This window comes from Homo sapiens, chromosome 2 (assembly GCF_000001405.40).
Source record: "Homo sapiens chromosome 2, GRCh38.p14 Primary Assembly".
In the NCBI taxonomy this organism is placed as follows: domain Eukaryota; kingdom Metazoa; phylum Chordata; class Mammalia; order Primates; family Hominidae; genus Homo; species Homo sapiens.
Window position 1 is genome coordinate 143,017,327 of NC_000002.12, and position 21,919 is coordinate 143,039,245.

The 21,919-nt window shown below is 35.2% G+C and overlaps 1 protein-coding gene across 3 annotated transcripts in view; it reads left to right on the forward strand.

Annotated features, from left to right (window-relative positions):
* Positions 1–21,919, forward strand: part of KYNU (kynureninase) — a 178,170-nt gene that overhangs the window by 139,663 nt on the left and 16,588 nt on the right. For 2 of the 3 annotated variants that reach the window (NM_001199241.2, NM_003937.3), the window contains 2 exons: positions 12,301–12,353; positions 15,910–15,995. In NM_001199241.2, coding sequence (NP_001186170.1) covers positions 12,301–12,353; positions 15,910–15,995 — 139 coding nt within the window. Of the gene's footprint in view, positions 1–12,300; positions 12,354–15,909; positions 15,996–19,809; positions 19,940–21,919 lie in introns of those variants that run through there. The other variant, XM_047446250.1, reaches the window with a different exon arrangement.

Genomic DNA, 21,919 nt, shown 5'->3' on the forward strand with positions numbered 1-21,919 from the left:
TCCACATAGCTGAAAAAAATTACATTCCCACCAACAGCGTATAACTGTTCTCTTTTCTCCACAGGCTCACCGACATTGGTTGTTTTTTGACCTTTTCTCTCTTTTTTCTTTTTTTTTTTTTTTTTTTTTTTTGAGATGGAGTTTCAGTCTTGTTGCCCAGGATGGAGCGCAATGGTGCAATCTCAGCTCACTGCAATCTCCGCCTCCTGGGTTCAAGTGATTCCCCTGCCTCAGCCTCCTTAGCTGGGATTACAGGCATGCACCATCACGCCCAGCTAATTTTGTATTTTTAGTAGAGACATGGTTTCACCATGTTGGCCAGGCTGGTTTCAAACTCCTGACCTCAGGTGATCCACCTGACTTGGCCTCCCAAAGTGCTGGGATTACAGGTGTGAGCCATAATGCCCGGCCATTTTTTTAACCTTTTCATAGTAGCCATCCTGACTGGTGTGAGGTGGTGTATCATTGTGGGTTTGATTTGCATCTTTCTGAGTGATGTTGAGCATTTTTCATATGTTTGTTGACCAATTGTATGTCTTCTTTTGAGAAGCATCTGTTCATGTATTTTGCCCATATTTTAGTGGGCAAAATATTTAGTTCAATTGCTTAAGTTCATTTCTTTTGAGAAGCATCTGTTCATGTATTTTGCCCATATTTTAGTGGGCAAAATATTTAGTTCAATTGCTTAAGTTCCCTATAGATTCTGGATATTAGAACTTTGTCAGATGCATAGTTTGTAAATATTTCCTCCCATTCTATAGGTTGTATGTTTACTCTGTTGATAGTTTCTTTTGCAGTGAAGAAGCTCTTTAGTTTAATTAGGTCTCACTTGTCTATTTTTGTTTTTCTCACAATTGCTTTTGAGGACTCAGTCATAAATTCTTTGCCAAAGCTGATATCCAGAATGGTATTTCCTAGGTTTTCTTCTAAGACTTTTATAGTTTTAGGTATTATATTTAAGCTTTTAATCCATCTCGAGTTAATTTTTCTATATGGTAAAAGGTAGGGGTCCAGTTTTATTCTTCTGCATATTGACAGCCAGTTATCCCAACACCATTTATTGAGTAGGGAGTCCTTTTCCGATTGCTTGTTTTGTCTACTTTGTCAAAGATCAGATGGCTGTTATGCAGCTTTATTTCTGGATTCTCTGTCCTGTCCTATTGGTCTATGTGTCTGTTTTTGTACCAGTATCATGCCATTTTGATTACTGTAGCCTTAGAGTATAGTTTGAAGTCAAGTCATGTGATGCCACCAGCTTTGTTATTTCTGCTTAGGATTGCTTTGTCTATTTGGGCTCTTTTTTGGTTCTCTCTATATTTTAGAATAGTTTTTTCTAGTTCTGTGAAAAAATAATGTTGGTAGCTTGATATAGGAATGGTGTTGAATCTGTAGATTGCTTTGAACGGTATAGTCATTTTAACAATATTGATTCCATGAGCAAGGAATGTTTTTCCATTTGTGTCATCTCTGATTTCTTTTGGCAGAGTTTTGTAGTTCTCCTTGTAAAGATCATTCACTTCTTGGTTAGATGTATTCCTAGGTATTTTATTTATTTATTTATTTCCAGCTACTGTAAATGGGATTGTATTATTGATTTTGTTCTCAGCTTGATTGTTATTGATGTATAGAAGTGCTACTGATTTTTTTACATTGATTTTGTGGCCTGAAACTTTATTGAAATTGTTTATCAGTTTCAGGGCCCTTTTGAAAGATTATTTAGGGTGTTCTGGATATAGAAGTGTATCATCAGTTAAGAGAGATAATTTAACTTCTTCTTTTCCTGTCTGAATGATTTTTATTTATTTCTCTTGCCTGATTGCTCTGTCTAGGACTTTCAGTAATATGTTCAACAGCAGTGGTTAAAGTGGGCATCCTTGTATTGTTCCTACCTTAGAAAAAAGGCTTTCAATTTTTCGCTGTTCAATTTGATGTAAGCTGTGGGTTTGTCATCTATGGCCTTTATGTTATTGGGGTGTATTTCTTCTATAACCAATTTGTTGAGAATATTTATTATGAAGGTATGTTGAATTTTATTAAGTGCCTTTTCAGCACGTATTGAAATTATCATAAGGTTTTTGTCCTAGATTGTGTTCATGTGATTATGACATTTACTGATTTGTGTATGTTGATGGCTCAAGCATGTTGGATGCAACATCCTTTCATCCCTGGGATAAATGCTACTTGATCATGGTGAATAATCTTTTTAATGTGTTGTTTGAATTGAGTTTCTAGTATTTTGTTAAGGATTTTAGCAACTGTGTTCATCAGGGATATTGCCCAGTAGTTTTCTTTTTCTGTTGCTATGTCCTTGTCTGCTATTGGTATCAGGGTAATGCTGGCCTCATGGAATGAGTTTGAAAGTATTCCCTCCTCTTAAATATTTGAAATAGTTTGAGTAGAATTGGTATTAGTTCTTCTTTAAGTGTTTGGTAGAATTTATTAGTGAATCCATCACGTCTTTGGATTTTCTTTAATGGGAGGCTTTTTATTATTGCTTCAATCTTCTTACTGTTTCTTCATAGTTCAACCCTGGTAGATCATGTGCATCCAGGAATTTATTAATTTCTTCTAGGTTTTTCAACTTGTTGCATATAGCTGTTTATATAGTCTGTAATTATCCTTTGTATTTCTGTGGTATCAGTTGTAATATTCCCTTTTCAGTTTGTGTTTTTATTTATTTGGGTCTTCTTTTTTCTTAGTCTGGCTAAAAGTTTGCCAATTTTGTTTATCTTTAAAAAAACCACAGCATTTAGTTTTGTTGATCTTTTATATTTGTTTTATTCTCAATTTTATTTATTTCTATTCTGATCTTTATTCTATCCTTCCTTCTACTAATTTTGAGTTTGGTTTGTTCTTGCTTTTCTAGTTCCTTGAGGTGCATCATTAGGTTTTTTGTTTGAAATCTTTCTACTTTCTACTTTTTTGATGTAGGCATTTATTGCCATAAACTTTCCTCTTGCACTGATTTTGCTGTATCCCATAGGTTCAGGTGTGCTATGTTTTAATTTTCATTTGATTCAAGAAATTTTTAAATTTCCTTCTTACATTCTTCATTGACTCACTGGTTGTTCAGGAGCATGTTGCTTAATTTCCATGTATTTGTACAGTTTCCAAAGTTCCTTTTGTAACTCATTTCTAGTTTTATTCCCTTATGATCAGAAAAGATACTTGATATGACTGCAACATTTTAAAAGTTGTTGAGAATTGTTTGTGGCCTAACATATGGTCTATCCTGGCAAATGTTCTAAGTGCTGATGAGAAATATGTGTATGCTAAAGTAGTTGAATGAAATATTCTGTAAGTGTCTGTTAGGTCCATTTGGTAGACTATAGTTTAACTTTGATATTTCTTTGTTGATTTTCTGTGTAGACAATTTATAGGTTCCTTTCGATCTTGGACTGTTACTAAAAAGATGCACTGAGTATAATTATACATAATTTACTTCATACTTATTCAAATACTTTTGGAGATTAAATTTCCAGAAATGAATTTCGTAGGTCAATGGTGTTTATCTTTATAACTTTGGTAGCTATTGCTCATTTATTTTCACAGAGGTGCATCACATTATACTCTCAAAGTAATACATGGGAGTTAGCCCTTACCCACAGTCACACCAATAGAGTACATAATCAGACTTTTGTATTTTTGTCAATCTGAGAGGTGAACAATGGTATCGCAATGTAGTTTTAATTTGTATTTATATTATTAGTAACTGGAGAGATTTTCTTTTTAACTTTTAAGAACTACTTGTTTTTCTTTTCTGTAAAAGGTCTATTCGTATCCTTTGGCCATTTTTCTTAGATTTTTATTTTTGCCTTATTGATCTATATGTACTCTTGTACTAGAAAGATTAACCCTTTTTAATATGAGCTGCAGAGGATTTTTAAAAAATATATTGTTGTTTGATAGGACTTTCTCTTCTGATTCATTGGTCTATAGAGTTGATCCTGAGTTTCTCTAGCTTTATTAATATAATGAGTTATATATTGTTTTTTAGAGATTTCTTAATATTATTTGTTTTCCCAAATGACATTAGAATCAGCTTTTCTTCTTCCCAAATAAAAATCTATTTTTACTGGTGTGTTAGGCTTTTCTCACATTGCTATAAAGAAATACCTGGTACTGGGTGATTTACAAAGAAAAGAGGTTCAATTGGCTCGTGGTTCTGCAGGTTGTACAGGAAGCATGGTGCTGGAATCTGCTTGGCTTTTGTAGAAGTGTCGGGAAACTTACAATCATGGCAGGAGGCAAATGGGGGGCAGGCACCTCACGTGGCAGGAGCAAGAGAGAGCAAGGAATGAGATGCTACACGCTTTTAAACGACCAGAAATCACAAGAACTCACACACTATTGCAAGGACAGTACCAAGAGGGATGGTGCTAAACTATTCATGAGAAATCCATCCCCATGGTCCAATCAACTTCCACCAGGCCCCACCTTCGACATTGGGAATTACATTTCAATATGAGATTTGGGCAGGGACACAATCCACATTATATCAACTGAGATCATATTAAATTTGTGCATCAATTTAAGGATAATTGACATTTTCTTAATATTGAATATTGTTCAAGTATTTTTATTGTTCAGGAATGCAGGTCTTGAACACTTTTTTGGTAATATATCTGTTTGTTGCAATTTAGATTTCAGATATTTATTTCTTATATTAATTTTCCACCAGACTACCATACTAAAGTATCTGAATATTTATATCAAATAAAAAAATTATGTAACTTGAAAGTACAGTAGTAATAATTTACATCTTCTTTCCTATTTTTATATCTGCCAAATCTTGGTATTAACGAAAATTACTTCGGTGTTGCTAAATCAGAGTTTGACTTTCAGGCTGAGGTTGCTGTATTTCATTACATTAAGTATCTTTCTACTATTGTTTTCTTTAGATTTTTTAAAACTTAAGAATAAGAATGTCGTAAATGTCTTTACAGGGTTTAAGGAGATAATCTTATTTTTCCTTTAGCTTTATTAATAAAATGAATTGTATATTCATAAATTTGCTAGTATAGACCCATTTTTGCTCTATGTGAACCCTACTGTTCATAATGTGTTGTTTAATATGCTGTTAGAATCTGTTTGCAGTATTTTATGATGTTTGTATTAATATTTTTAAGACTGAATATGTATGCAATCCTAACCTAGTTTAATATTAATATTATAATAGCATCACAAAAAATGATAATATCTCCCATACCTCTTTTTTGATTTGGTTTTTGTTTTCTATGCACTGAGCTAGTTTAAATAGCATTGGAATTATCTACTAAAAAGTATTGATAGAATTTCCCCATGAGATTACCTTCTTTTGTGAGTTTTAGATGTTTAAGTCTTTTCTCTATTTCTCCTATTAAAATCTATTAGTTTCCATTTTGTTCCTTGCTGGGATTAGGATGAATAAGTAATATTCTCCCAAAAAATTATTCAATTAATCTAGATTTGTCAATTTAAGCAATGTCTCTTTTATGATGTGCTTATTTTTCCCTATTTTGTGAATATCCTTCTGCATATGTTTTTCTTTTCATAGCTTTACCTTCTTATGTTTTCTTGATCAATTGGTATTCCTCTCCCTCACCACAACAAACTTGACTTATGTATCAGTGTAACTGTCATTTTATGTTTTCTAACTATTAATTTCAGCTTTTTTCTTTGTTAATTGCATACCGCTGCTTTATTTTAGATTTGTTTCATGTACTTTTATAACACTTTTTAGTCTTATTATTGATTTATTTGTTTTCTTTCTAATTTTAAAATTGATCTACAGTTTAAAGCTATGAATTGTTCTCTCTGCACTGTTTTGGCAATTTCCCAAAAGTCTTGATCTGGAGCTTTTAAAAATCATTCTTATAAAGGAAATTTTACCAATTCAGTATGTATTTCTCTTTATCCTAAAAGTAATTTCAGATCAATTTACTTTAAACTTGCCAGGTAATTGAGTCTTTTCATTTTCTGAGTTTTTTATTGATTGTTAGTCTTATTGGATTATACTCAGATACCATGGTCAGCAATATATACTTTTTGGAGATATTAAAGATTTTGTATAGTTATAGTCAACATTTTATGAGCATTTCTTTTGAAAGCTATAATCTTTATTTCAAGTCACAGCGTTAAACATTTATGTTAGATTTACCATCTTAATTGATATATTTGTCCCCTTGATCTGTCATGGACTTAGGTTAATAAAACTTCTGCCACAGGATATTTCTCTCTCCTTATAGTCTCTGTAATGTTTGCTTTATGAGTGTTGGTGTGGTATTGTGTTATGAACAGCAATTCATAACTGTTTTATCTTTACTGTGAATTTTTCAAATTATTGACAAAACTATCAAGTGATAACAGATTAGGTAGAAGGAAGAGGAAAGCTGCTAAATCTATAATTGTTCAAGGAAGAGAACTAATAGAATAAAGAAAAAGAAAAATTTAAAACCTTAAATATCAAAATAAGTACTAAATAAAAAATAAGTAAATTACTCAAAAAAAAAGCAAATCATCTCATGTTGAAAGACTTTTTAAAAAAGCTTTAGAAATAGAAAATATGACATTAAATGACATTGAATTAAGACCAGACATATTTGTCAAAGTAATAAATATCAATAGGTTTAATTCACATATTGAAAGATAAAGTCATCAGATTGTACTACGAAGCAAAGACACTCAATTAAAATAAATAACTCAGAAAAAAATTGAATAAAAGGATGAGCAAAAGTATAAATAGAAAATGTAAAATAAAGCAAGATGCAATCTTTATATATGACAAAATGGAATTCAGACCAAAAAAAAATGATGAGGGATACTTTTGTCAATAATTTTAACTTTCTTGATATTCACTTTGTATTCTTAGATTTGATTATACTTGTTTTACCTGATCTATCATGTTTAAATTATGGATAGTGAGTAAAACTATGTTAACTCCTCTATTTGTTTAGTTGTTTATTTTTACACTTTCACATATCATTTCCTATTTACTGTTACCTTAATCTCCACATTTGTTCAGTCTCAGTCCTATAATTAAATATATTCGATAGTCACAATATGTCATTTTGTTATAGTTTCACCAGTCATCTCTTGGCTGACTTAAGTTCTTTTTCCAGTAATGAAGAATTCATGGGAAAAATATTAGCTGAACACTTGCTTGATCAATACCAGTAAAACTTATACAATTTGACTTGGTCAAACATAGCATTCATGTATCATGTTTTTTTTTCTCTGAGTATTGTACAGGTATTTCTATATTAGTCTCTGTCATTGAATGGTTGCATTTGATACATTTGAAGCCAATCTGACATTTCTTTCTTTATTCTGACTTAACCTTTTTTGAGTGGAACTTCAGTTTTTTCTCTATCCTTAAAATCCAATAATTTTAATAGGCAGTAACCAAAATTGACCATTCTGAGTTAATCGCTCCCAACTAACTCAGAGGATGTTGCATTTTTTCAATGTAGATTCAAATCATTTTTATTTCCTCAAAGTTGTCTTGAATTATAACTTTAAAAAATATTCTTCTCAGGCTTTTCTTCTTTGGAAACTCATTTTGATTATGATAGAACTTATTTATCTGCTTACTAAATTTGTCATTTTCTCTCTAAACTATTTTAAATATATCTTTTTGTTTATTTTTTCTCACAACTATCTTTTGTCCCTTGCTAGTTTTTCCATAGTATCCTGCCTTTCTTGAAGTTTTTCAAATCTTTTTTCCTTTCTTTTATGTGTTTTGTTTTTCTTTTCTAGTTCTTTCCTGATTTCTGCATGCTCATTTTCATCCCTCCTATTGTTAAGATATGTTAATCCTATTCCTACATTTTTACTTGGCTTTTTCCAAACGCATGGAATATTATTTCATTAAGCTTCTGTTGTTTTCTTTATGTATTCATTTTCATTACATTTCTCATCCACTTTCAGGCAATCTTTTCCTCGTGCATATTTTTCATCTGCTTGTAGATTTCTCCCATTTTTCATGGAAAATCTTTGTGTTGGTGCTATACCCAGTTCTTTTTTCATTGTTCGTCACTGAATGTGTTGAATTTTCCTAGATTAGCAATTTGGGGGAGGTACCTAAGCAGGAGGCTAGGGGAGAAAGGATACAGTAGCCCTTCAGATTTTTCATTTGCTCACTACTTCCATCCCTTAGGGGTCCTGTTGATTCTTTCTATGGATGTGCCTCCTTTTTCTGCAGGATACATAATGTAACCACTGCTCTGAAAATGGCCCTGCTCTCTTGTATTCTATACCCTTAATTGTATCAAGGGTGTAGCTTTTGGAATTCAAATTGGGCACCTTGTTTTTACTTTAGATAATTTTTTTTTTAAACTGGAACTTCAGTAGATATTCCATCGCTTGAGCTTTTACCATTCTGCTCTGACTTTTTTCAGTTCCTCCTATGCAGATTCCACCCAATATCATCAATATAGGCAGAAGAACCATTGGGGACAAAAAGAGAGGATTATTAAGTTTCTCATAATGAATTACTTGAAACGAGAGAATATATATTAGAAATAAGGTTTCAAAGGTATGCCTGGGTTGGTACACTATGAATTTTAATAAGTTAGAACTGTATGATATTTTTAAGTGATGGATTTTAAAAAATTAATCATTTGCATAATTAATCAGACTCTGCTAATTAATTCTATAAAACTATATGCAAAATGCATAAAATATTTTTGAAATTAAAATTTGGACTAATAAAGAGGAGTTAAAATGATAATTAGAAACTTTCTTTGATGCAACAACAATATGTGCTCTTTAAGAAAAATCTGGAAAACATAGGAATAAAGCATAAATTAAAATATTTAACATTTTGGCCATAGTTAAATATAAATGCATACATGTTATTGTTTTAAAACTAGAATCACACTCAAAATATTGTGATCTCTATTTTAATCTTTTTGTATATATATTCTTTTAAATAGGATTTTTATAATGGCTGCAGAGTATCTCTTCATATGCAAAGGTGTAATTTGTTTTTATCAGTTCTCCATTATAAGATATTCAGATGGTTTCGACACTGAAAATTGTATTGTGTTAATTGTCCTAATGAAGCAGGATATTTCCCTGACCCCTTCGCGGAATTCCTGACAGGGGTGCCTCATTTACTCAGCCCCGCTCGCTGCTCTCAGCTCCTCGCGGGAGGGAGTGCACGAGCGAACGAGTACGGGAGCTGGAATGAATGAGTGCTGGAATCGGCTGGCCACTTGGCGCTGGTAGGACCCAACCCCACTCACTCGGACCTGCAGCGTTCCACCCCTCATGGGAGGGAGCGCACAGGTGAGCAGGTGTAGGAACTGACCCCACACTTTAGAACCGGCAGGATTGAACTCCATGCAGGCCCCACAGCAGACTCCAACCGGGGGTGCCTGCGACTCTCAGAGCCCCAGAGGGCACGTTACAGTGCTCTTTTAGCTCTGCTGTCCGCAGTCCGCAGTCCGCAGTCCGCATTAGTGTTAATAGCTCAGTGGGGCCTCTGACTTTTCACATGAGGCGGCTGCCTTCCACCAGCCAGGGTGAAGAGCCAGTGTGACAGCCAGACTCTTCTCGAAGTTACGAAGTTACGCCACCAAGCTGTCCCTCTGAAGTCAAGCCACTTCTCTCCGATGCCCAGCTGTATCCTGTCTACTGGCTGAGTCTGGGATTAATATAGGCACAGGATGGGGCGGGGTGGGGCCATGAGTGGTTTAGGAAAAAGCAACATTTGAGCGGGAAAACAGGGATAGAAGTTCTCACTTTGGGCTGTGGTTTCAGGCTTTTCAGCTTGAGGGTAGGAATTCCTGGGGACCTACTCTTTTCTGCCTAGATTTTCTGTGCCTGCTGTTCCCTATCACTAATACACAAATCTTGGTGTACTTCAAATAGTGTAATCCAAATAGTGTAATCCAATTTAGATAAATTGGAAGGAGTAAAATTTCTGGGACAGAAAACAATGCATATTTCCCATATATCTTCTTAAATTGTCCTCTAGAAAGATTTTATTACTTATTTATTATCATTATTCAACAGTGGTTGATTTCCTTTTCTTTGAATCTTTAATGAAAATATGCATAATTTTAAGTCATTTTGTATATTTGATATATAAAATATGGTCTCATCTTTACATTATAGTGTGAAACATTAGTGAGATTGAGGTGTTTTTGTTTGTTTTGTTTGCTTCTCCTGAATTCATGGGGCACAGACATTTCTCCTTTATAAACTGCCTGTCCCTGCTCTGTAGCTGGGTTGCTCTTGGTACATTGTCCTTTTTCTATGTAAAAACTCTTAGTGAAAACTCTTTCATATGGGACAAATATCACTTCTCTTCCCCATCTCTGGTTTGCCTTGCAATTTTGTCTGTCTTTTTAATACAGAATTTTAAATGTTTATAAATCTGTTGGTATGTTCCTTTGAATTTTCTTCTGTTTTATACTTAGAAATTTCTGTTTTGAAAATCATGAGTATGTAAATATAATTTTTTCATTTTTGCATTTTGGAAATGTCATAATTAAGAGGTGATAATTGTGACATGATCTGAGGACTGTTTCTGTATTTACCGTCATATCTCATTTGTCTCACTGATGTTTCTTTACTAGAATTAGTCTCATTTATGTACTGCATTTTATAATATGCAATATTATCATATAAAGCATATAAGATACTATTACAAGATAATATAGCATATTCCTCACTATACTTTTCTATTCTATATAAATTTTAAAACATTTTGTCATCTCCCAAAAAATAGTGTCTTGGAATTTTTATTTGGACATCACTAAAACTAAAATATTTAGGGATAATTGATCAGAAGCAACATGATATTTCTCTTTCTAAATTTTTTATATTTTTCTCTAAATTGTTTTATAGTCTTTTTCATGTAATATATACACACACGTATGTGATTTTCCCTATATATTTTGTATTTTATGTCTGGCTTATTTTACATTCTTTTTTTTTTTTTTTTTTTTGAGATGGAGTCTCACTCTGTCACCCAGGTTGGAGTGCAGTGGCTCCATCTCGGCTCACTGCAACCTCCCCCTCTGGGTTCAAGCGATTCTCCTGCCTCAGCCTCCTGGTAGCTGGGACTACAGGTGTATGCCACCACGCCCGTCTAATTTTTGTATTTTTAGTAGAGACGGTGTTTCACCATGTTGGTCAGGCTGGTCTCAAACTCCTGACCTCATGATCCACCCGCCTTGGCCTCCCAAAGTGCTGGGATTACAGGTGTGAGCCACAGTGCCTGGCCAACATTCTTATTAACAATATGAGGCCAGGCGTGGTGGCTCAGGCCTGTAATCCCAGCACTTTGGGAGGCTGAGGCGGGCTGATCACCTGAGGTCGGGAGTTCAAGACCAGCCTGACCAACATGGTGAAACCCCGTCTCTACTAAAAATACAAAAAAGTTAGCCGGGCGTGGTGGCACATGCCTGCAACCCCAGCTACTTGAGAGGCTGAAGCAGGAGAATTACTTGAACCCGGAAGGCGGAGGTTGTGGTGAGCCAAGATTGCTCCATTGCACTCCAGCCTGGGCAACAAGAGCAAAACTCTGTCTCAAACAAAACAAAACAAAACAAAACAAAACAAAAACAATATGAAAGCAACCAATTTCCTTTAAAAGTATTTTTAAAACTTTCAACAATTGTATGGGCTTTTTGGGTACATTTCTCTTTAGAGATTCTATTGTGAAAATATTGTATTAATTGTTTGACCTTTTTGAGCTTTTAGCTTAATTTTAAAATAAAAACTGCTTAATATTTTTGTTCATTTTATATTAAATAAAAACCGGTCATTAACTATAACTCTTAAGTTGACATTTCACACAAAAATAATAATAGAGATGGATAGATTTTTATCCTCATTCTTTTAATTATAAATATTAATTACCATATGATACCAGATAGTATTTTATCTGCTGAAGTATTTGATGACTTATATTACAAATGGCTTTATAATGCAGGCCCCAGATTTCTAAATTAGTAGTGTTTATTTTTATAGATCAAAATATCATGTCCAGTCACAGTGGCTCATACCTGTAATCCCAGCAGTTTGGGAAGCCAAGGCTGATGAATCACTTGAGCTCAGGAACTCAAGACCAGCCTGGCCAACATGGTGAAACCCTATCTCTACTAAAAAGACAAAAACTAGCCGGGCATGGTGGTGCATGCTTGTAGTCTCAGCTACTTGAGAGGCTAAGGCACAAGAATCGCTTGAACCCAAGAGGCAGAGGTGGCAGTGAGCTGAGATCACGCCACTGCACTCCAGCCTAGGCAGCAGAGCAAGACTCCATCCAAAAAAACCCCCAAAAACCTAATGTTTTTATTTATATTTTAGATTAGTGGGATGGTTTGGCCATGAACTCAGCACCAGATTTAAGATGGATAACAGTAAGTGTATTTATTTTACCTAATGCCATTTTTATTTTAACTTTATTTCAATGTTCATCTGTCTTTGTATTATGTGTAATGTATATGCCCCAGGGAGAGTGCACTTCAAAAATGTCACTGAGAATTCTCAAATAAGAAATGACATTTCCAGAGTGTAAGACTAAGAGTTTATAGATTTTAGCATGATTTTGAGTCTATCCCTTAGCAGGGAGATAAAAGAAAATGAAGTCCAAGGTAAGGGTCATGTGGCTTGGTCAGGTGCCATCAACATAGAGTGCCTGAAACACTGGGCATGGAGGACAGGAGGAAATTTGGGGCTTGGAGTCAGATCCAGAAAGACCTGGGTGTTAATCACACTTTGCTGCTTAATAGTTTTTTGATCCTGCACAAGTTATATCATCTTGTGTCATTGTTTTTTCTTTCCCACTTATCTAATGTGAATAATAAAATCTATTTAAAGATTTGGTTTTAGGGTTAGTCAAGCTCAAAACAATAAGCCAAGTAGGACACAGCAGTACCTTAATAAATACTCATTTTCACTCCTCTTTTTTCCTATTTTCCTTTTGTGGCTTTTGCCATGTACCAAAGAGTGTAGCAATTCCTGTGAGCAGTTAACCCCAGCAGATAGAAGTGAAACTCTACCATGCAGAGCTTCCTTTTCCTGCATGACCTCATTTCTCAATCACATGGGATGCAGAAAGATCATACGTGCTTTGAGAGTTCAACATAAACTTGATCCTTCAGATTGCTTTAAACCCTGAGATACTGTTTTAAATTTGTTTTCATTTTTTATTGACTTTATTTTTTTGTTTTTGAAACAAGGTCTTGTTCTGTCACCTAGGCCGGAGTACAGTGGTGCGATCAGGCTCAGTTCAGCCTTGATATTCCTGGCTCAAGCAATCTTCTCGCCTTAGCTTCCTAAGTAGCTGGGACTAGAGGTGTGCACCACCATGACTGGATGATGATGATGATGCTGATTATTATTATTATTATTTAGTGGAGATGAGGTCTTGCTATGTTGTCCAAGCTGGCCTGAGATAATATTTTATATATATAGGTGCTCTTTGACTTACAATGGGGTTATTTCCTGATAAGCCCATCATAAGCTGAAAATATCATAAGTAAAAAATGCATTTAATACACCTAATCTATAGAACATCATAGCTTAGCCTAGCCTACCTTAAAACACATTCAAAACACTTACATAGCCTAGAGTTGGGCAAAACCATCTAACACAAATCCTATTTTATAATAAAGCATTGAATATATTATATGATTTATTGAATACTATACTAAAAGTGGAAAACACAATGGGCGTATGGGTAGTCGAAGTATGGCTTCTACTTAAGATGTACTGCTTTTGTATCACTGTAAAATTGAACAATTTTAAGTCAAACCATTGTTAAGTCAGGGACCATTGGTATGCAGATTTGTAGCAACCAAATTGCAAAATGGGATATTCCAGTCAAGTCAGGATACCTGTATTTTACCTTGGCTGCTAAAATAATTAGATCTGTTATTATACCAGTTATTTAAATTCTTTGAGATGGGTTTTCTTATTTGGAAATAAAGGAATTGAATTTGATCAGGGGTAGCAAACTTTTTCTGTGAAAGGCCAGATAGGAAATATTTTAAGCTTTCTAGGCTATACAGTCTCTGTGGCAAATACTCAATTCCGTCATTGTGGTGGTAAAGCAGCCATAGGTGATACATAAGTGAAAGATTGTGGCTATGTTTTCATAAAACTGTATTTTAAAAAGCAGGGCCTGGCACGAAGACTCACGCCTGTAATCCCAGCACTTTGGGAGGCAAGGCAGATGGATCAATTGATCACAGGAGTTTGAGACCAGCCTGGGTGACATAGTGAGACCTTGTCTCTATAAAAACTACAGAAATTAGCCAGGAGTGGTGGTATGCATCTGTAGTCCCAGCTACTTGGGAGCCTGAGGCGGGAAGATCACCTGAGCCCGGGGAGGTCAAGGCTGCAGTGAGCCATGATTGAGCCACTGCACTCAGGCCTGGGTAACAGAGTGATACTCTGTCTCAAAAACAAAAACAAAACTAGTGGGTCAAATTTGGCCCACAGGCCATATGGCCATATATTAGTCTGTTTTCACACTGCTATAAAGATACCACCTGAGACTCAGTAATTTGAAAAGGAAAGAATTTTAATTGACTCACAGTTTCACATGGCTGGGGAAGTCTCAGGAAACTTACAATCATGTCAGAAGGCAAAGGGAAAGCAAGGCACATATGAGGTGATGGGAGGTGAGAGAGAGAGAGAAAGAGAGAGAGTGCATAAAAACTGCTGTTTTTGGCCGGGCGTGGTGGCTCACGCCTGTAATCCCAGCACTTTGGGAGGCCAAGGCGGGCGGATCACGAGGTCAGGAGATCGAGACCACCCTGGCTAACACTGTGAAACCCCATCTCTACTAAAAATACAAAAAAATTAGCTGGGCGTGGTGACAGGCACCCGTAGTCCCAGCTACTCGGAAAGCTGAGGCAGGAGAATGGCGTGAACCCGTGAGGCGGAGGTTTCAGTGAGCCAAGATCGCGCCACTGCATTCCAGCCTGGGCAACAGAGCGAGACTCCATCTCAAAAACAAAAACAAAAAAAAAAAACAAAACAAAAAAAACTGCTGTTTTTAAAACCATCAGATCTTGTGAGAACTCCTTCACTATCATGAGAACGGCATGCAGGAAACTGCCCCCATGATCCATTCACCTCCCATCAGGTCCCACCCTCGACATATGGGGATTACAATTCAAGATGAGATTTGGGTGGGGACTCAGAGCCAAACCATATCACCATAGTTTGCTTAATCCTGGATTTGATAACTATAAAAAAGTCATCAAGTTTTAACATTCTTTTAGTCAGTCATAGTGTTAACTTATCTCTGACTAGCTATCTTAACCCTATTGAATTTAACTTGCTACAGTTCAATCTGCTTAATTCTAATTAGTAGAGCATCTGTTATTAATTTACCTTTTTTATATACTTAGGCAGATCTTTTTTTTAAAGCTCCCTCTATTGTGTGTGTGTGTGTGTGTGTGTGTGTGTGTCTGTGTGTGTTCTGTAAGAGAAACCACTTGACCTAACAATCCTAGAGCTAAAAGTCAGCTTCATAGGTCATTTCATTCATATTTCTGCCTTTGGGAGACATTACAATTACATGCCACTAAAAGCTGATGCTCTCTCTCATTGACATGGTTTCATAATAGAATAGCAAATGTTGAGCAGAATAAGGAATCCTGGCTTGGGAATAGGAAGGCAGAGAATGAGATCCAGAAAAACTTCCAGAAGAGGTCATTTTTACCTTGGGTCTAAGATTTCTGGTGTTCTGCTAAGAAGTTGGGGACAAGGGAGGTGGGAACTGCTGGTAAACGGGAAATAACGTCGATATTTTAGTTCCATGGAGCTTATCTTAAATATCTCAGAAATCCTACTTAGGAAGAAAAGTTTAAGTCTTGCTCTTTTACTCTCCAGTACTCTAGTATCTTTATGGACACTTTTAAAGTTACCTTCTATGATAATGACATGATATTAATTTCTCAGAACTGCAGTTAATCCCTGGGGTCTGTGGATTCCGAATTTCAAATCCTCCCATTTTGTTGGTCTGTTCCTTGCATGCTAGTTTAGAGGTAAGTGATGTGTGTTTCAACCTTCCCACATCTTTGCGTTTTTTCTTGATCTGTTTGTGACAATTCATAGTACTTTCTCTGCTACACAGCAAGATGATACATGTGCACTGTGCATGAACAAGGGACAGAAGGCAGCATTCCCCTTTAGGACAGTGATGATGTGGTGAGGGTCTCCCTTCATTCATGTCACCAGCCCCCAGCACAATGCTTGGCACATTGTTGGCACATAGTAAATATTAAATGGAACTCTTTTGGGGAGATACGTTTTTTACTCCACTTAGAATCTGTTTAAACATGAATAAGTTATTTAACCTTCTCTTGGCCTCTCTTTATACCAAATAAGCATGCAATATTTAGTTCTTCATAAATTCGCTCATTCAACATAAATTTATTGAGAAAATATTGTGTGCCTGATGTGATTACTAGGGACTGTACTTTTTCTAGTTCATTGTAGGTGAATGAACTGACCAAGTACCATGTGACAAAGCTAGGAAAGACTTACTTGAAGGAAAAAAGAATAATCAGAGTAAACCAAAGATTAAATAAGGTTGTCTCATAAGGTAGGGTGGTTTTATGATTTTTTTAAATTGGGACTTCTATGCCATTATGTCCATTTATAGTCTCCACTATCACTGACTCAATATTTTCCTTTAAATTAATTTATATTTTTATTTAGGTAAATTTAGTCTCACCCTGAAATGATAAATATACATAACAAGAAAATGAAATTGTGATTCCTTAGATACTATTATTTAGTGTTAGACTAAATGTGGCCAAGTAAAAATATATAGGTTATATAGTATAAAATTCATATATAATGTAAATGTATAAATATTTACATAAATAATGTAAATATATAAAGTAATTGTATATTTTGTATACCTATATTTAAGTAAAATATATTTTAAGTAAATGTGCATATATATTTCTAATAGAAGTTTTACATAGAACTATTCAAACAAGGATTTGAAATTTTTTCATGTCTCCTTCTAAAATCATGTAGTTTATGATATTTTGGCAAAAACTTATAGAGGATTTCAGCATCAAATGAGTGACAGGATGAAGATTCAAAATTCCTTCTAATCTAAAATTGCATAATTCTGTGAACACTTACAGCAGTTTCTCATTCTGGCCACTGGATGGCAGCATCAAGTTCCTCTGTTTTTATTAAATTTCACCACTGGATAGTGATCATCACCTCATTTCATTCTGTCTCAATTTAAAGCGCACCTACTCAGTTTAACCACTAGATGGAGCTTGTGTTGTTTTCACTTCATGGCAGAATTTTTCTTTAACTTGGAAAATAGACACAGTAACGAGATTTTTCAGCCAGTGATATATATTTTTGACAGTTTTTTGAGTAAAAATCTGCTTAGTAAATCAGATAATGATATTTGAGTTGTTTTTATAGTATCCATTCAGATAAATATTTTGTTTAAACATTTTAAAACAAAATAAAGTTTCTGCATTCCTTGCAAGTTTGTATCAGCGAGATGTGTGACAATATCAGAAGCACCAGGACATACCTTAGGAAGAGCTTGTACCTAAAGTAATTTCCTCTGGTGCCCATATCTTTGCAAATAACTTCTCAGACGTACCTGGAAATTTCCTTTTAGACGCCTTCACTTTGGCATACTTTCTGCAGTGGACTGGCTTTTCTAGTAGTATTCACCCTTCTCTTGTGGGAAAGGAAGCACATTCCTATTCTTCCAGCCACTGTTTTCCTACCACACTGTATTAGAGTCACCTAGACAAAGTTTTTATTTTCAGTTATAATCTGAGAACTGATTTATTTTTTCTTTTTAATATCTAAACTTAAACCTCAGCCTCCTGAGTAGCTGGGACTACAGGTGTGCACCGCTACACCAGGCTAATTTTTGTAGTTTTTTGTACAGATAAAGTCTTACTATGTTACCCAGTCAATATCTAAACTTAAAACCCTAAAAGCCACAAGAAGAATGATATGCATTTCTCTGGATCTTCTAATCACTTACATATTTCCCTTGAGCCTCTTTCTGCTCATTTCACTGCTGAGACTATGTTCTAACCAAAATTATCTTTAGTTAATCAAGCCTTATGTTGGTAAAAGTGTTTTTTCAAAATTCTTTCCTACTGTAAATTGCAAAATTTTTGAATTACAAACTAATGCATTGAATTGCTTCCCTTTCTCTGTTAAAATGTCTTATTTTCTAGACATTTATGGGTTTCTCATGTGAGTAAACATCAGTGAATTAACTATGCTTCTATTAATACTTACCTTCCTTTAAGTTTTATTTATTTATATTTAGAGATGAGGTCTTGCTCTGTTGTTCAGACTGGAATGCAATAGTACGATCATGGCTTAGCATGGCCTCAAACTCCTGGGGTTCAAGTGATCCTCCTGCCCCCACCTTCCAGGTAACTGGGACTGCAGGACTGCACCACCACACTTGGCTGATTATTATTATTTATTTATTTTATTTCTTTATTTTTGAGACAGGGTCCCCTTCTGTCACTCCTAGAGTGCAGTGATGGGATCTCAGCTCACTGCAACCTCTGCCTCCTGGACTCAGTTGATCTTCCCACCTCAGCCTCCACAGCAGCTGGGACTACAAGAGTGCACCACCATGCCCGACTAATTTTTGTATTTTTTTATAGAGACAGGATTTTGCCATGTTGCCCAGGCTGATCTTGAACTACTGGCTGCAAGTGGTCCTCCTGAGTAGCTAAGACTACAGGGCATGCCACTGTGCTCAGCTTATTTTTAAATTTTTTTAGAGATGAGGTCTGGCTATGTTGTCCACGTTAATCTGGAACTCCTGGCCTCAAGCGATTCTCCTGCCTCAGTCTCCTGTTTGAAATGTTTGTTTTTCAGTGCTATAAAGAAATAGCACTTGAACGCAAATTTAATTTATTTAGTAAGGCCATTTTTACTTCCTGCAGAGAGGATACACTCGCCAGCAGTTTTGCCATGAGAGTACACCGAACAAAGGAGACAGGGTCATTTATAACCTGACGTGTCCACCCTACTGCTGTGTCCAGTTCCAATGGCTGGAATGGGACCTCCCATTCTGTATTTGTCCCGATTGGCTAGTAACTTAGAACTTTTTAAAAGACGTAAAGGTAGAGGGTAACAAAGGAAGGAGGAAGTAACTTGTGGAATGCTAAGAAAGGTAAAAACACTTTTAAATAAGGAAGAGGAACAGGCTGTGACCTAATGCTGCTTGGACCAGTATAAGCATGCCAGGGCAAATATTTAGGCTAAATTGTGGGAGCTAAAAACATAAAGTATATTGATTTATTTATTACAGCTAGCAGATATTTAAGAATGTTAGCACAGGTCTTTGAATAAATTTTGCTTCTAAGAGAAGTTACTATTTATTCCTAATTAGACGGGAAGGAAAGTCTTTGAAGAGGAACCTCTACTTTACTTTTTATACTCCTAAGCAGTTGGGATGACAGACGTGAACCACTGCACTCAGCCACCTTATCTTTTTAAACCAGTTTATTCCATTTTAGGAGATAGGTGGTTGAAGTTTCAATAAACGAAAGAAGTAAATGCATGAATCAAACTGCCTCTTTGTTGTCTCTACTTTTAAGAAATATTCAACACAGTCAAATACGAACTGGAGGAGAGATTCTATACTTAAGAATCAATCACATATAAATAAGACCTTAGATTTTTAATGCAATGACTTTTTAAAAAGATATTAATATGGCTTTTTTTAATAAATACATGTGTATATGGTTGATTGATATAAAAAATAGCACATTGTAATCAGTTTCAAACTGTCCTTTTGTTTATATTTTTTTATCTGAATCATTTATACAATAGTTCTTAAAATATTGTGGATCAAGGGATGAAGCCTGAGGCCAGGAACCTGGTGGCAAGTACTCTCTCCCTCAATGGACACGAAGTGTGACCTTACACAAGCAACAACTCCCTTTGGATGTATTTGCCTTATTTTTTAAAGTAAGATGTTTGGACAAGATTATTTTGGAAGTCTCCTCACTTTCCAAAATACTTAAATTTAAACAATACGTATATTATATTTTGAGGGTTCATATTTATGTGTAGCGATAGGTAGACAATATTTAGTCCCTTTCAGTATTCTGAATTCATAATGAAATAAATGGCTTCAAAATACAAAGTTAGAGCATTCAATTAAAATACATGGCGAGTCAGAAGACTCAACAAAGAAATGTACTATACGTTTCCTTTCAAATTTCCTAGAGAGACAGTTTTAAGAATTTAAGAGAAAAATATGACAATTGAAAACATCACACCAAACTTATTTTTCCTGTTTAAACTTATCTAGCTTTTCAAGCTTTGTGTTCATTTTGTCAGTAAGAAAAAAAATACAAGTAGTTGAAACTCTGCAAAGTATTATCTTCTAAGCTGAATATTTTTCAAACCACAGTTTTCATTTTTTCTAATTTAAAAAAATTATTTTCTCAATATTGAAAGCATAACATTTATGAGAAGCAAAAAAGAAAATAGAATATTTATGTTACTTCCCTATTATTCTCTCTCAATATTTTTATGTGAAGCTCAGAATAGACTTTTACCCTCTGTGAGATGAATTTAAAAGTGCCTCAGAATGCAGTTGCCCTTATTGTGGTTGTAATGGAGAAAGTAAGTTTTATATTTAAAAGTTATTTTATGATTTAAAGAGTGTTAACATTCCACAGTATATTAAGATGGAAGCTATTTGTCATACCAAAAAAATTGGTTTCTAGTTATCAAGAGAAAGCTTCAAGAGCAACATTCCCTACGCCCCTTTAAAAACTAAATGCAAGTAATATTCCTCCAAGTTTTACTAACCTATGCACACAAATGAACTATCATTAAATGTGATACTTCACATATCGATTGCCCCCATGTACATATTAGGGCACCCATAGCATAACCACAAAATTTCCTAGAATTATTTATTATTTAGAATTTCTTAGAATATTATTAAGCTCCAGAGAGAATCTTGGAAAGATTCCTCACATAGTCTTTTTATTCCAAACTTCACAGCCAAACCAGCTGTGGCCCGTGCCTTGCCTGTCCCTGCTCCTCTGGGAGAATTTTGATTCTTGTCCCTTGACCCAAAACTTGGCAGTGTTCCCTTGAGTCTTCATTATGCCAAGTCTACCTACATTTGCTTTGCCCAAGAAAATGAAGGAGATGCCTCCTACCAAGTTCTGTGTAACCTGGGTCATCTGAATCTTGGAGCACTATTATTTGTACTGCAGATCTCTCTCGGGAGCTTATGAAGCCAAGATATCAGCCTCTACTTGAGCTGTCTCTGTAGACTTCAGACATTGTCTGGGAGTTGTGGTTGAAGAGAGAGACAGGCACCATTCTGTCCTGTTTTTCCTCTCTTGCTTAGATATCATTTACCTTCAGTACAGTTCCCAGCCTCTCCTTCAGCCAATCCATAGCCTCTATACAGTATAGTTCCAGGAAATCTATGGCTGAATGGTTTGAGTTTTATTAGAGTGCCTGCCTACACATGCCACGTGTACATACAGGAATAACTGTTTTCATAGACTTGATAAAGTCTCAATATCACCAAATGACCCTATCTTTGCTCTTGATATCTTTGCTCATGACACAGAAAAGGAACATTAAGTGGCAGGCCAGTGCATCACGCTCTGTTTGCAGTTCATTTAGTTCTTATACATAGGATATATTTTTACACTCTACTTGACCTTAAGAGATAAGCCAGAAAAGCACATCTGTTCTGACCCCTAATATTCCAACACCAGTTATTGTGTGCCCTTGTCACTCATCTTAATATAAGACATCTCAGCCCACAAATGGCAGTATTTTCACACCAGTGCTAGAGTTTAGAAGGGGGGAAATGAGAGAAACCAAGCCCAAATGCTTCAGTAAAAATAAATGCATTATCTAATATTATTTGCTTTCCTCTCTGAGGAAACTTAGCATTATTATT